General features: G+C 34.8%; 1 long non-coding RNA gene across 1 annotated transcript in view; it reads right to left on the bottom strand.

Moving 5' to 3' along the window:
* Positions 1-254: 254 nt before the first annotated feature.
* The window catches only part of LOC105371302 (uncharacterized), an 82,213-nt gene continuing 65,175 nt past the window's right edge, over positions 255-17,292 (bottom strand). The window contains exons 2-3 of the long non-coding RNA XR_933656.1: positions 1,024-1,112; positions 255-281 (exon numbers count right to left, since the gene is read on the bottom strand). This is a non-coding gene — a long non-coding RNA (uncharacterized LOC105371302). The remainder of the gene's footprint in view (positions 282-1,023; positions 1,113-17,292) is intronic.

Genomic DNA, 17,292 nt, shown 5'->3' with positions numbered 1-17,292 from the left:
ACGAAATAAAAAATAAAAAATGGCAATACAACAATAAAAATAATGTGCATAATAATACAGTATAACAATTATTTATACAGCATTCACATTGTATTTAGGTTTTATAAGTAATCTAGAAATAGTTTAAAGCAGGGGTCCCCAATCCCTGGCCCAAGGACCAGTACCCACCTGTTAGGAACCAAGCTGCACAGCAGGAGGTAAGGGGGCTGGTGAATCAGTGAAGCTTCATCTGTATTTACAGCCACTCCCCATCACTCACATTACCACCTCTGCTCCACCTCCTGTCAGATCAACGGCAGCATTAGATTCTCATAGGAGCACAATCCTATTATGAACTGCACATGTGAGGGATCTAGGTTGCATATCCCTTACGAGAATTTAATGTCTGATGATCTGTCACTGTCTCCCATCCCCCCCAGATGGGATCAACTAGTTGCAGGAAAACAAGCTCAGGTTTCCCACTGATTCTACATTATGGTGAGCTATATAATTATTTCATTATATATTAAAATGTAGTAATAATAATAGAAATAAAGCACACAATAAATGTAATGCTCTTGAATCATCCAGAAATCATCTACTGCCACCTGGTCCGTGAAACTGGTCATTGGTGCCAAAAAGGTAGGGGAATGCTGGTTCAAAGCATACAATAGAATGTGCATAGGTTATGTGCAAATACTATGCCATTTTATATAAGGGACTTAAGCATACAAATACACATATTGTTATCTGCGGGTAACCCTAGAAATAGAACCCAGTGAATATAGAGAAACAGCTGTATTCTGATTATACTTCATGGATTTCAGATAAGTCTAGATGGTGACTAAGAAAGGCATTCAGATAAATGAATACTAATCAATTTTCTTTTGTTCCTCTACCATAAAAGGGAGATAATTACTACCTCATAATGTTATTTATATGATCGATATTAACATATACTATGGACCAAGCACTATGCTAGGTTCTAGAATGCACTAGTTATACAAAAGTAATATGGTTTCTCCCTCTCAAGATTATACTTACAGAGTATCCCTTGGTAAGTGGCAAATATTTTAGACACAAATAGACTTTGCTTCTTTTGTCTGCTTCTTCTTAGAGAATAGGGGCTTCACCTGAATTTAAAAAAAAATTGTATGCCTCATTCTCCTTGTAGATACCTAGAGGATAACTTAGTATATATTATATATGCTAGTCTTTTTTATATAATGCTTTCCCCCTTTCCCCATATTCCTTTTGACTTTTGGAATAATAAAAATTGATTTATGTCAAGTGGACCAGACCTCTAGTGTGGGCTTGGAATCAGTGAATAAATTTGTCATCTACTCTTTCCATGTAGCACAGGCCAGCTTGAAGCATGCTGACCTCTGGCCTATCTCTAGCTACTCATGTGAAGCTAGGAAGAGACAAGGAAAAGGAACTGGTGAGACAGGGTAGAGCCAGGTCAAATGCAAGAGCATGTCATTCTGTTCAACTCTTATCATCTTATTGTGGTATTCTGGCCATTACCATCCTGTTTTGACCCAGCAACAGTATGCCACTGGCCCTCATCACCAGCTGCCTCAGCCTTTAAAAGCCCAGGCCTGACACCTTGCTCCCTAACACAAATATTTAGGAAGTAGAGACTAAGATAAATTATCTTCAGAGGAAATTTCAAGCTTCCCACCTTAAGAGTCTAGTCTTCTCATACACATAGAGATCCTCAGCCAATAGATGCTGAAATCACATTCTTCATCTCCAAAATCCTTGCTGTCTGGGCTCAGAAATCTAATTTTAAAGTGACTTAAGGGATTTTGATAATGAGTTGAGATTTGTTACTATATGTTTAATTAAAAAATAATGTCAAAGGATTTATGCTGAGTGAAAGAAGCCAATCTAAATAGGTTACATAATGGAGAATATATATATATATATTCCACTCATTTACAAAATTACTTAGGCCAGCATCTTTTTTAACTGCTTCCTTTAGTGAGGTTTCTCATATACTTTTAGTTCAATTAGATATTTTTGTTAAATTTTTCATTTTATTCTGCAGTTCTCTAACCTTGTAAATATTTTTTTAATTTGTATATATCAATGATCTCGCTTTGTGATGTTACGTTCTACAGGTTTTGATGAAAGCATATATATTTTCATCTTGAAATAACAAAGTTATAGCGATGGAGAAGCAATGAATGATTTCCAGGGGTTGTGAATGCGGGAGGGGAGTGGGTGTGCCTAAAAAAGGGTAGCAGAAGGCTGGTAAGTGTGATGGAAGAGTTGCGCGTCTGGATTGTGCTGGTAGTTGCAGGAATCAACACACGCAATCAAATTCTGTAGAAATACACACCCAAACATGCAAGTGCATGTAAAACTGTTGAAATCTGAATAAGTTCTTTGGATTATGAGTATAAAATTCCTGGTTTAGATATTGTACTACAGCATTGCAAGATGTGTCCCCTAGGCAAAGGGTACCTAAGACCTCTCTGTATATTTTCTCAAATCTTTCTGTGAATCAATAATTATTTCAAAGTAAAAAAAATAAAAACAACACAAGACATAAATTGCCCATTTAGAAAAGAGAGAAACAACAAAGAACTAACCAAAAGTAAATTCTACTTGTTATTGGTAATTTCTTTGACTAGGTAACCAACTTAAATGATGACTACATACAATGTCCATATTTGACATAAACTATTTTATATATATATATATATATACCTATTCAGGCTATAATTTTGAAATTCCACAGTGCTGTTGACATATAGTAGAATTCATTTATTCAAGTCACAGTCTGTTAATAACTATTCAACTCGTACTAATGCTACAGAATAAAATTCTATGGAAATAAAAGTATGCAATTTATGACCCAGTCTTAGACAGATGGTCTGAATGATTATTCCCAAAAGGTTTAGCTCTCTGACAAGATCAACTGCTTTAGCAAATATATGTGATGTTTCACACCTAACTCAGCTCTACTGTGCAGAAATGATAATGGAAAAACCATCCAATATTGAATATATCCCATGCTTGCCCCCATGATAAATGGATCTCAACGTTCAATGATGGGGGTCTCTTCTCTGAATTCAGGAGGATAAAGAAAACTTAATTAATGGCACAAGAGGTGTGAAAATATTGCTGTGTGACAGGAAGCACATGGAGTTTTCAACTGTGCAACCAAAGAACTGGCAGAGTTTTCCCATGCCCACTGCCAGCAGTTCTTTTCCTCTGTTCCTCCAGATTTTGCCAACTGGAAAGTGCAGGCTATGCTGTCCTTCTACTTTCCCCAGGTGGTGAAACTGTCTGTGCTGTTAGCCACCCATACAAATTCACACAAATGAACCTCACCTGGGTTCCAAGTGATTAATAATTCAGTATGTTGAAAATGGTTAAAAGCAATATATAGAACTGAAGCAATAGAAACTTTTTATTAATTTACTTGAACACCTTTCACTTGGTGGTTTTCTCACCTGGAAAGCCAACCTACTCAGCTGCCCTAAAGAAGAGTTTCATGATAGTAGCAGCTTTACTACTTGGTGTTAAATTTATCAATCATTCCTCTCATAGTATGTTAATTTTCCTTCAATATTCCATGCAGTGGTTTACCTCTTTCTTCTTGAAATGGTGTCTTATCTCTGCTTAGTGGCACGAGACTTCCTGGAACACATCTACTTTCATGAACTCTCTTAATCTCTCTCCCTGTCTTTATAAAATTATTTTATTTTGTAATACTTTTAGATTTACAGAAAGATTATGATGAGTTCCCATGTGCTTACAGTTCCCAGTTCCAACTGTAAGTAATATTTGCAATAATATACCATATTTGTCACAATTAATGAGTCAACATTGGGGCATTATTATCAAATACTTTTTTCAGATCTATAAATTTTTACCCAATTTCCTTTTTTTGTTCCAGGATCTTACCCAGAATATGACATTAAATTTAGTTATCAAGTCTTCTTAGGCTTCTCTTGGATGTGACAGTTTCATAGATTTCTCTTGTTTTTGAAAACTTTGACAGTTTTAAGGAGTACTGATCAGATATTTTTAATAATAGAAAGCCCCTTAACTGAAATTTGTCAGACGTTTTTCTCATGATGACACAGTGGTTATGGGTTTTAGGGAGGAAAACCAAAATAGTAACGTACATTCTCTTCACATCATGTCAAGGATACATTCTACCACTTATCACTATTAATATTACTGTTAACCTTGATCACCTGATTGAGGTAGTGTTTATCACATTTCTCCCCTGTAAAGTTAATCTCTTCCCCCACTTTTTTATATTATACTCTTCAGAATAAATGTACTATGCACAGTCCAAACTGAAGGAGTAGAAATTGTGCTCCACCTCTCCAGTGGTGGCACATCTACATACGTTGTTTGAAATTATTTTTCACAGGAGATTTTTCTCTTCTCCTCTATATTTTTATTCAATCTCTTATTTGTATTAGTGTGTTCTAAAGATTTTTTTTACCTATATATATACACATATGTTTACATATATACATTTTATACTTTTATACATTTGTTATAGATATTTAATACTTTAAATTATCTTGTATATTTTTGGGTCACAATCCAATAGCAATTTATATATTTATATATATATATATATATTTTTTTTTCTCAAATTGTTCCAGGTTTCGCTGTTGACAGCTCTTTCAGTTGGCTCCCGTGTTCCTTTGACAAAACCCCATCATTGGCGTTTTGGAGTACTTCTTTCCTTCTGGCACTACAAGAACCTCCAGTCTCATTTGCATATTTCTGGCCCCAGACCTAAAGTAAGACATCTTTTCAAAAAGATTTAGTTTCTTTATGCAATAATGGTATCAGAAAACAAGTTCTTTGTGCTAGGTGTACTCATGCTACTGGGGCGTTATTATTTGTAGTCCCTCTCAGCTGACAGAGGAGGGAAATATATGTGTTAGTACTGATCTGATCGATACACTTATGTATAAATAGTTCTCCATGTAACCATCTGTATCTATAAGCTAAGCATGATGTCTCTAACTGTAACTCATTATAACATGGACCATGCCAGCCTCCATTTCTTGCATATTTTCAACATCGTAGTCCAACAGTAAAAAAACTTGGCTCCCACCATCAGACATCAATTTACTTAATTGTTCAATTATAGCATTTATGTACAGTGATTTCAGAATTGTTAACCCCTACTCCAATGGAAACAGCTATATCAACTCAAGTACAGTGTTTATGCACAGTTCTTCAGTTCCTTTGGCTTTAGTCTTACAGATCCCACTCACTTAAAAATCACTTAGGCCAGCACCTTTTCCAACCACTCACTTTAGTGAGGTTTCACATACATATTTCATTCAACTAGACATTTTTGTCACATTCTGCATTTTACCTTACAATCCTCTGCCCACCTAAATGTTTTTTTTTTTTTTTTTGTCAGAGTCTTGCTCTGCCTCCCAGGCTGGAGTGCAGTGGTGCGATCTCAGCTCACAGCAAGCTCCGCCTCCTGGGTTCACGCCATTCTCCTGCCTCAGCCTCCCAAGTGGCTGGGACTACAGGCGCCCGCCACCACGCCTAGCTAATTTTTTTGTATTTTTAGTAGAGACGGGGTTTCACTGTGTTAGCCAGGATGGTCTCGATCTCCTGACCTCGTGATCCGCCCGCGTCGGCCTCCCAAAGTGCTGGGATTACAGGCGTGAGCCACCGCGCCCGGCCTAAATGATTTTTTAAACTGTGTAGACATCGATGATCACCCTGTGTGATGTAAAGTTCTGTACCTTTTGATAAAGCATTGTATCATGTTTTATTATTACAGTATCATATAAAATAGTTTCACCACACTACTAATCCCTTGTGCTTCACAAATTCAAAACCCTGCCCAAACCCCTGGCAAACGGTACTACGTTTACTGTCTCTAAAGTGCCACTTTTTCTTGAATGTCATATAAATTGAATTTTACAGTGAATAGCCTGTCCAAACTGGCTTCTTTCAAAATAGCAATATGCAATTAAAATTCATCCACATTTTTGTAAGTTTTGATAACTCATTCCTTTTCATCATTGAGTGTTATCTTATTATAAAAATGCACCAAAAGTTGTTTATTTATTCACCTATTGACAAATATCTTACTGCTTACAGTTTTTGGTGATTAGAGGAAAATATCCTATAAATATTTGTAAGAAGGTTTTATGTGGACATAACTTTTCGAATAACATGGACAAAGATCTATGAGTGTGATTACTGGACTGTACAGAAAACCATGCTTAATTTTGCAGGAAACTGTCAAACTATGCCCACAGTTGCCATGCCACTTTGCATTCTTACCATCAATGAGTGAGAGTTCCTATTGTTCATATCCTCAAAAGCATTGGTACTACCATTTGAATAAAGACAGCCATTCTAGTAGGTGTGCCATAACGTCATTTTAAAAAATTTGCATTTCTCTAATGAACTATGATGCTGAAAGTCTTTTCATATGCTTATTTGCCATCTTTATATTTTCTTTGGTGAGGTGCTTCTTCAGATGTTTCCCAACTTTTAACTTAGGTGTTTGTTTTCTTATTGTTGAGTATTAAAAGTTCATTGTATTCATTTGGGCCCTTAACATTTTAAACATAGATATTTAAAATCTCATCTCTGATATCTACAACAACCATATTATATCTGGGTATGGTTCTGTTGATGGCTTTGTCTCTTCAGACTGTTTTCTCTTGCCCTTGGCATGTCTTTGAATATTTTTTTGTTGAAAACTGACATATTATATGCAGTAATAGGAACTGAGGAACACAGGCTTCTAGTATTTTTATCTTCATCTAGCTAAAAGTTGAGACAAGTATGACATTTGCTATAACTGTAGGCTCCAAAGCCTTCACATTCCTCTAATGATGTTTTTTGTTTCCTATTTGCTCTGCACTTTCCTAAATACCCCTACTCAGACAAAAATCAATTTCTTGCAGCTCTTTCATCTGCAATCCACTCTTAATGTACTGGGTCTCTGTTGTTGTGGTTGTAAGGTGACAAAGATGGGAAACATTATGTAATTGTCAAATTAAATCTCCATCTTTTAGTGGAACTGTCTTTCAGCTGTGACCTTAGCAAGTATCTCAACAATGATACAATTTCTTTTCTCCCATTCACTCCCTGGCTGTAGTGTTTCCCATTTACTCTGTTGATGTTCTTACCCCTATTGACTATGTTTTTCGTTTATCTCTTTGGCAAGATAGAAAAGGTAGTGGGTGATGAAATAGAAAAATTGAATTTCGTCTATCTTGGATAAGGTTGTGACAAAAGTACCTCCTGACCTCCTGTGCAATAGTCCTTTAATATAAAGAAAGATCTGGGCATATTCATAATTTCTCTTCCTCTTCCCACCCTCCACTCCTCCACCTCTCATTGTTGAAACCATGAGGGGGACCTTTCTCAGGTTTTTCACTGTGAGAAGCTGATGAGGGCCCTGGAGGTAAAATCTACAGAAGGGTGGAACTCAAGACTGTGGCCTCAGGAGGTTCTCACCCACAGGTTAATCCACACTCACCCTACAAAAATTCATGAAAATGACCATTAAATTTTACCTACCAGTTTACGGCTTCAGGGAGCTCTGCCCAAAGTAAGCAGATTTCAACTGTTTCTCTGGATCCACCTCTATCTCCAGATTTAGGGTTGGCAATTTGCCTTGCAACCTCAGATCTCTGAAGGGTGCAAGAAAATTTGTTGATTTTTAGTTTATCCATGTTCCTCTTGTAAAATTAGGAGTAATACATAATGAGTTCTTGGTAGTTCTTGTTGAAGCCAAAACTAGAATCCTAGTTATAGTCTGGCTTTTCTACTCTACTCTATAGAGTAGGTTATCATGCATCCTATCCATTCTAATAGCTTTACTTAACTAAACTGCCCAAGTGACTCCTCAATCTATGTCTTTATTATTTTTCCACCATGTGTTCTAGTTTCTGATTATCTGTTTAAAGGTTACACATAAATGAAATCCTACAGACGTTTTTAAGTCTAATGTCAAAACTAGGTTAATCTCTTTGACTTCTTAATATTATTGTTCTTTCCAACTTTATAATTTGTATTAAACAGAATGTATTTTGCTCCTGTGACCTATGTTCTGATCTTCAGCATCATCATTGGATATGTGTTACAACATGGAGAAAGGGCCCGATTTACAAACAAGTCATGTAAACCCGTATCATTGTTGCTACAATAATCTACAGGTTATTATGGGTCCCCTATTTCTATTTCGAACTTTCTATTTTAACCTCCCATGATCTCTAGTTTTTAACTTAGAATAGCCCCTAATTAGCCCTTCTATCACTTCTATTTCTATGGCTTTCATTGTCTCTTTATTCCAATCTGTTTTCAGACAACTTGTGTGTCTATGGAGACCACCAATGATTTAAAGTAGAAGAGTGAGTGGTCAGATTGAAAGTCGAAGAGAGAGTGGTCAGAGCTTTGCAGTCAAAACTAGCATTTCATTATTCAGAAATTCAATTTTTAAAGAAAATCTCCCTTCCCCTTTGCTGCCCTTGAAGGATCTCATAACCCTAGGCACTTGATTCATATAAAACAAATTCTTTGATTATTCCATTCTTTCCATCCTCCATCTCTTTTTACATGTCTTTGCCCTTCACTTGAGCTACATCAATTTCCCACTCACAGACACAAACCCTACCTTTCTTTATGAGCAAGTTCAAATGGCTACCTGCATGAGGACATTTCTGAGCATCCATTGAAGAAAATAATTTCTACATCTTCAGATTTGTATATGTCTTAAAGCACATATTACTTTGTAAACATTTCAGTTACTAATCTTTCTTCTCCTTAGGAAGTAGGGCTTAGATGTTTCACAGATCTGTGTGATACAAAGATCTGTCTCATATACTTGTAGCATCTTGAGTGCTAGCAAAGTTCCTTGCACATTACATATACTCAAAACAATTTTGAAGGATATATAAATTATAGAATAAAATTTCACTTTTCCAAATTTAAAACTAAATTTGAAATTATATATGACAATCATTAAATACTGCATTTGAAATGAAGAAGCAATAATGAGAACAGAAACAAAATAAAACAAAACCCAGAGGATCTCCAATTGCCAAATTGCCTTCTAAATGTGGTAGTGGTGACCACGTGTCTTCGTACAAAATCAAATGTTTGAGGATCTACATTTGTAGCAGCAGTGTTGCAGAAGAGAAAGAAAAGATATATATTATTCCTGGAAATTTTATATATATATATATATATATATATCTCCATAAACTGCAAAGATATCTTTTAAAAATCTTCAAAGACCATCTCTCATTACGAAAAATACACGCAATTCTAGGGAATTCTTGGAGGACAGCAGCAATCTTGCAAATATCCTACCATGACTAAGACAATGGTCTGTGATTTTCTCATTAACTTGTCTCAACAACATTGACTTTAGGAGGGAATACCAGTGAGGTGAGGACTCTTCCTTGCCCATTTTTCGACACAGAAGTCATAAACATTTGTGCCAATATTCTCAAATAAATTTAAGGAGCTGCAGAGCCTTAATGTAGAGTCAGTTTTGAGTTCTGTTTATTCAAGTGAGGTTAACAAAACATGAAGATACTCATGGGTTTATTAAATGAGCACTTATAAGTAAGGCAACTGATTATTTTCAGTGAACTAGTCCATAGCTTTGAGGTTAGCACATGTCTTAAAACTTTTTATCCTGGTAAAATAAAATGGACTAATGAAATATAGTTAAGGAATAGAAATGGCATCATCTATACAAACTACTCTTTTTTAATGGAATTCTTCACATAGAATTTAGTCCTAAAATTGTACAAAAGATAATTAGCTTGTCAAATGAATAAATGATTTTTTCTAAAAGAAGTATATCCATATCAAAAATTTTTCATGTTTAAAAAATAGTATCTGCAAAATACGACCTTAATATTAAAAATTTAGGCAATCTTTCATAGAACAAAACCTTATAAAAGTGATATATGAAGGGCTCTCAAGGTACATCAGAAGCATCTGAAGCGAGAAGTTGTGGGAACTATGGTATAAGTGGTTACAAGAGTAAACAAAGTTGAATATTCCTGTCCCCATGACTTAGGTATAAAAGATGACTTCTAGTTCAATGCAGGGAGTATCAAAGCCTGCCAAGGCGAATGCAGATATATGAGACATTGTGAAATTGCACTCATATATTTTTCCATGCCTGTGATTATTTGCTGATTTACTGTAGTCAAACTCCGGTGCTCATTCATTTAATCACAAGTCCCTTCACAACATAATTTAAGGTGATCACTCATGAGAATCTGGGTTGTGCCAGGAGCCTGAGGAACCACAGTGAGTTAGTGCTCTTGCAGATTCCTTGAGGAGCAATGAATTTTACTCCTCAAATGGGTCCAACATAAAAATGAGGGTGGTAGCCATGCGTGCTTGCAGGTTTCCAAACACTGAGACACATTTTGGCAGAATAGATAGGATTTCTTCTCAAGATGCTCCTGGAACTAGACTCAGCAGGTTCAATGAAAACCAAGACTAGAAAGGTTCTGTGGCCAGATTATTATCAGAGGCTATCCTTCTGCCCATGTCAAGTGGCTTCATGCATCATATTCATCTGTACACAACCATGTTTTAAGAAGGTTTTAAAATAGATTCACATTCCGAAAGAAAAACCCCAACTACCTGTGAGTTTAAATAGGAAACTCATTATATAAACTCAAAACAATTTTGAAGAATATATAAATTGTAGAATAAAATGAGTGTCATTGCACTCCAGCCTGGGCAACAAGAACGAAACTCTGTCTCAAAACAGACAAAAGAAAGAAAGAAAAACAATATCCAAGAAGAAAGAATGAAATATGCTTTAAAAAAAAAAAGAAATATGCTTAGGAAATACAGAACATTATTTGGGACTTTGTAAGAGTAAGTAAAATAAGCCACAACTTATTTTCTCCAGCTTAATGGGCGTCAACTCATTAAATGAGATAAGATATGCAAAATTACTTAGTGCTCAATCATTGTTATTATTATATGATAACCTCCATAATTTTATCTTTTGCAAACATGTTTAATCATTCTGATTTCAGTGCACACAGCATAAAACATGTACTCCTCAACTGTGGTTGAACTCCACCTCCCTCTTCACCATCATGCAGCTCCCTTCTCTTTCTGTCTTCTTGCTTTCATATTGCATTTCTTTATATCTCTACAACACATTCACTTCTTCCTGATTTAGCATCTTCACATTTCCTCTGCCTAGAGCAACCCATCACCCCAGTTGTTTTCTTTGCTTAGTTAACTGCTATTTATACCTCCAATCTCAATTCATAGGCCTCTTTCTTCAGGAAGTTTTCCCTGAATCTCAAAATTTTACCAAATGCTTCATGCACTTCTTCACATCAACATGTCAGTAATTATGAAATAAGTAATTATTACATTATTATATATTTTTTTCCTTGCTAGCTCTGTAAGAAAAGATAAAATTGTGTTTTGTTTATCACCTATATTTTTAGAGTCATCATAATAACTGACGGAGTGGTTGCTTTGTAAACATTTGTTGCATTAAAGAATGACTAAAAATAGAAGTAGGTTAACTAGTTAGCAAGAGTGCTCTAAAATAATTCTAAGCCCTGACTAGAGAGATCTAACCTCATAAATTCCCAAGGCCATTAGAGGGCTCTAAAGGCAATATTAAAAAACAAAAACCTTCTATTTTGATAGAACAATTTCCTACTGTGACAATATTTAAGAGATATTTTGCATGGTAAATGCCACTCAGAAACTTTCATTTTAGCTCCATTGAAAATAATCTTGGTTCCCTGATAGGTACTTTTTCTAGCATTTTCAATGTTTGGCACCTTAATGGGCATCTGCCTATATTTTGTCAGCTCTGCTTGTCAATTTGCAGACGAATTTTTGATATATTCCATACATTTTACCTCCATTAACATTTTTCAAGTGAATGGTCTCCTTCTTATTTGCGATGACTTTGACTTCTCATTTACTCTTTCAATTTTCTTGCATAAACGCTCAGAGAAATATGTATTTTCTATTTGACAATATATTTTATCCATTTAGATAAAAATACCTTTCTATATCTCCCAAAGAAAGCACCACATTTCTTTTTATTCTGCTTTTGATTTTTTTTTTTAATCTGAAATATTTTTTGCCAAAAGCACTACAAAGAGACGTTCGTAACCCTTCTGTGGTCTGTCTTTGCTGAAATTTAACTGGACAGCTTTTTTCATTTTATGTTAGAAAGGTTGTGCTTGCCCTACGTGGGGGAACTATCCTAAAGCAATGCAATCCAGTTCACAAATTTTAGTTTCATTTTCCCCATAAGAGTGAATAGTCAGGATCTACATGTAAAATGTATATATTTGAAAATGGGAAAACAGTTGAAAAATTACCTGGAAACCAGATTGTGTGGACATAGCCTCGGGCTTCTACAAGTTGTCTTCACTGTACTGACTGGATTCTGTGTGTAATTACGAAGAAAATTTTAATAGTGTTTTCCCTTGGCCATGTTCACTGGGAAACATTTTTCCTTGATGACTCTGGGTTTTTGGAATGAATTCATGTCAAGTTATCTTGTTGGCTGCTGACTAGTATTAAAAGCTTTGCAGAAAATTATTAAGGTACTTTAGGACAAAGTTAATATATTTTCATTATGGATGATATCAAAAAATAAATATACCTTTATTTAAAAATACAAAAAAGGGAAAATAGAAATCACTCATAATCCATGAATCTGTCAATACTAATTACATCAAAATAACTATTTTTCTAAAGAATAAAGTAAATTTCCCTTCTCTTTTCTCTCACAGACCATATATGTGGTTTTATAATTTCCTTTTTTATGTAATTTTATCTTGTGAGCCTTTCCCTATATGAAATATCTTACAGAATTATGAAATAAAAATATGTTGGTGTGCCTCAAAATATCTTCAAGTTTAATGTCCCTATCCCTTACCTACCTCTGCATTATTTTCATTCAACATAATTATTTATTAAATTTAGAAGATTTTCCCTCATTATCTTTATATTCACTAGAATTCTATGAAACAAAAAGGGCTCCTTATTACCAGCATTTTTCTCCACAATTATTGAAATAAATGGCATACAAACGGTAATTTGCAGACATTGCAGAATAAGTTTCTATAAAAGCAAAGACTAACTTTCAACATTTGTCAAGTGAGGAAGGTTTCAGTACATAATAAATACAAGTAGTTACAGCTTTATAGTTTTCAAGAACATTTCTACATGTTTAAACAAGCATTGCTCATATAAGTGACACAAATTTCTAAATTTCTTAGTGCCTCTGTATAAAAAAGTAGCAGATTAAATTAATTTTAATAATATTTTAACTTAATGCACTAAAAATTCTGTTATTTCCGCATGTAGTTAATATCAAAAAATATTAATGAAACTTTTTTGTACTAAGTCTTTGAATACTGTTGTGTATTTTACCTTTATAACACATCTCAATTTGAGCTAGCCACAATTCAAGTGCTCAATAGCCACATGTCGCTAGTGGCTACCATATTAGACAGTGTACATATAAATTTTCTTGTGTGGAAAAACCAATTCAATGGAAAAAATCTGCTTCTATTTCAAAAGTAAAATTTGAAGTTTGAGAAATCAAACATTTTCTGATGTTTTCACAGTTTTCTTCTAAGCAATCGTTCTTTCTTAGTATCTAATTTTAATTGTCATCTATACCAAATGAAAGCAATACTCTTAAGCTCAGTTTCATAATATTTGATAAAAGTAATTTATCTTTAATATATAAAAATCTGATGTAGTTTTTTGGTTGCTTATAATATTACTCTTTAGATATTTATAATATTTCATAGTTATTAATAATGTAGATTGCTGCCTGATTTAGCAAATATTTTGTATTAGTAAAACCATACAGCTCTCTGGAAGGCCAAAATAAAATCCCAAAACGTTAAGTTCAAAGACAATCTAGAATCACCATGGAATTAAAAAAGATATGTTTAGATCTTCAATAAAAACTAGCCTGTCAGAAACAAATATCACTAAATATCAGTGGTTGTCTATGATTATTTTGTTAGGACTTGAAAAATTAAAGATTGGAAATGAAGGAGGAGGAAAGGTGATGCTTCTTTTTTAAATGGGGGAGAAAGAAAATATTTGAAAACAATTCTAAAAATAGTAAACTATATAATATGTTATTTTGTACTTATTAACTTCAATAGCTTGACACACACTTATCTAATTCTTAAATTTTCTTTATCAATCTTCTAATTTATAAATTATGGTTGCTTCTGTCTCACTGACAGGAAAGTTTGTGAAACTTAGTATGTCTAATGACACATTTATGCTTGTTACAAGACTGTTTACATTTCTCTGAGCTTATTTCCTTCTCTATGAAGTAGGATGATCATATTCTTGAATTCCTCATTTTTTAAATGTACATAACCTGAATCTTTACTTCTTTACTAAGTGTCTATTAGCATCTTGATTAAGGATTAAAACTAAATTAAAAATGTCCCACTTGTAGCCTCTTTTTACCTTTTATTGTTTCCTCAAATTTATGAGACATTTGCCACTATCTCTCTCTCCACTTGAATTTAGCTAAAAGGGAAATAATGATACTTTCTCCTGATACAGTGCAAGGTGCTATTTGATATGAGGATTCAATGAGAAGGTGCAATAGAAAACTCTTCTAGACATGCATAATGTTGTGCAAAGGTGAGATTTATCTTTGTAAAAAATATGTTCTGCCGTTTTAATACCAAGAAAAAGCATCTACCCTTCTGCTGTTGTCCTCAGTTTGCTTTCCATTGGGTGTTGTGAACTAGGAAGCAATGCATATATTTCACCCAAAGAGAGTGAGAAAGTGATTCCATATTCCCTGGATGAGTTTTACACTTTACAGTAGCTGACACTAAACAACTTGGCTGTATCACATGTCTTCTCAAACTGATCAGCACTCGGGTCTGATTATTCAAAAATATTCTTAGGTTGCCAAAATACCATGTCACTTTATGTCTTTCTGGGAAATAAAAATGTATGCAAGAAATTTTACACTTTTAAAATGGAAGTGAAATTCCTTTTAGACAGCTACATGGGCCAGTCTCAAGAGAAGGTTTCCAGCTTGAAAATGATGGCTCAACCATGTTCTTTATTGAAGTTGTGTCTATTTGCAAAGCCTTTTTATTTTTTTCATACTGTCTCAGTGTGCAGAAAAAACAGTGGGAACCCGAACACTCATCTGTATATGTTTACAGTATCCAATCAATTTGCATTAATAAAGATTGAAAACTAGCAAATTAATTTGTGAGGTGACTCGTTTCAGTGAGTCTTTAAACATTCTCTGGAGAGCTATTGTGAAATCACTGAATACAAGGACTATATTTAGAATGTGTGTTGAGCCTCTGAGTGCTCAACAGCAGTAATAGGTCTATTTCTGAAGTAAGGACTGCCTCCTTGTGGAATTCCACTGGGAAGAGAAACGAAAAGGTCCCTAAATAATAATGCCATATCTCAACGGTAGATCAAAGAGTGGCTCTAACATGGTCTTCATGGTTAAAGGTCTCTTCATTTATTCTTTCAATAAATATTTACTGTGCATCTATTATGTGCCTGCCTATCTTCTACATTATGGGAAAACAACAAAATCAAAATATATTATGTTCTTTTCTCTATAGAATTTATGTTCCAAGAAGTATGCAAATAAAGAAAATAATTTTCAAGAGTGAGAATTGCAAAGAAAGAAATAAACCAGGTGATGCAATAGAGTAGTAAGAGAGACTTTACATTTTTGATCGAGTTGTCAATTAAAGCTGTCCTGAGAAGATCTGAATGTTGTAAAGAAACCAGGCAATCAAATGAGAAGCTCCTGGGAAGAGTGTTACCATCAGGCCACCCATGAATTAACTGAGTTGAGAAAGCAGTTTGTGTATTTGATGATCAGATGATAGTCATTTTAGTCACGGCTTAGAGTTTGAATTTTAAATAAAAATTCAAGAGGAGGTGATTAAACATTATTTTCAGAAAAATTGATTTTATTAATATCCTTCTATCTGCTATGTGTTGAATGGTTTATGGAAAGGCAAGGGTAGGAAAGATCAATAACGTGACTGTTATAGGGGTTCAGATTGGTGACAGTGGTAGTGTGGACTGGAATAGTAGCAATGAAAGTGGAGAAGAAGGCCGGGCACAGTAGCTCATGCCTGTAATCCCAGCACTTTGGGAGGCTGAGGCAGGCGGATTACCTGAGGTCAGGAGTTCAAAACCAACCTGGCCAACATGGTGAAACCCCATCTCTACTAAAAATACAAAAATTAGCTGGATGCGGTGTCACGCACCTGTAATCCCAGCTACTCAGGAGGCTGAAGCAGGAGTATCTCTTGAACCTGGGAGGCGGAGGTTGCACTGAGATGAGATCACACCATTGCATTCCAGCCTGGGCAACAGAGTGAGACTCCGTCTCATGAAAGAAAGAAAGAAAGAAAGATAGAAAGAAAGAAAGAAAGAGGAGAAGAACAGATTATTTCAAAATATGGTTTAGGAATAGGATGTGGGGAGGTGAAGAAAGGAAGAAATAAGAGTAATTATCAGGTATTATGACTTGAGTAATTCAGTAAGTGGTGATAGCATTTATTAAGTAAGGACTGAGGGAAGAAGATACTTGAAGAACAAAAATCAAATACTTCTTTATGTTTCACTTCCTACTGGATAGCTACATTTAGAGCTCAGGAAAGAAAGTGTGCAGCAGAAATACAAGAGTTGGACATGAGTCTCGTTCATTAGAGAACAACTTTTTTTGGTACTCAGTGTTATCTGACTGCTGCTGGCAGTGTGGGTAGAATTTAGTATATGAGTTCTAAGTGACTGAAAATAAAGGCTGAACTATTTATGAGCAGTAAAAGCTTTTAGTGCAGTATGAGTCTGGTACTTTCCTGAGCACTGTACTTAAAATGAGATAGTATCTCTCCTTCCAAACAATGTATCTACTAAAATCTACTTGCAGGCAGGGACCACATGTCTATCATATACTGATGACATGCCAAAATCTGGCTCAGGACCTGAGACATCACAGTTACTCAGCAGGTATTCAGGGAATAAATTATGTGAACATGGGCCAAGCTCAGACAGTGATGTTTGCATCATAATTTTTCCTTTTCCTGGAGAAAAATGTTGGATTGAAATGCAGCGAAACTAACTTAAGTATTTGTCATCCTCCTTTTCATCTTATGTCTAAGATTATTTGAAGGAACACCAAAGAATCTGTAAAATAAATAAATAAGAGGGCTACTGCTGGTCACCAAGTAGTATTGCCAAAAGCTATTCTCCTGGCCTGGTGAGCTTTATGTTTCCTGA

Source organism: Homo sapiens, chromosome 16 (genome assembly GCF_000001405.40).
Source record: "Homo sapiens chromosome 16, GRCh38.p14 Primary Assembly".
Lineage (NCBI taxonomy): Eukaryota > Metazoa > Chordata > Mammalia > Primates > Hominidae > Homo > Homo sapiens.
Note: the sequence above shows the minus strand (reverse complement) of the source record. Positions and strands in the feature narration are given on the sequence as shown.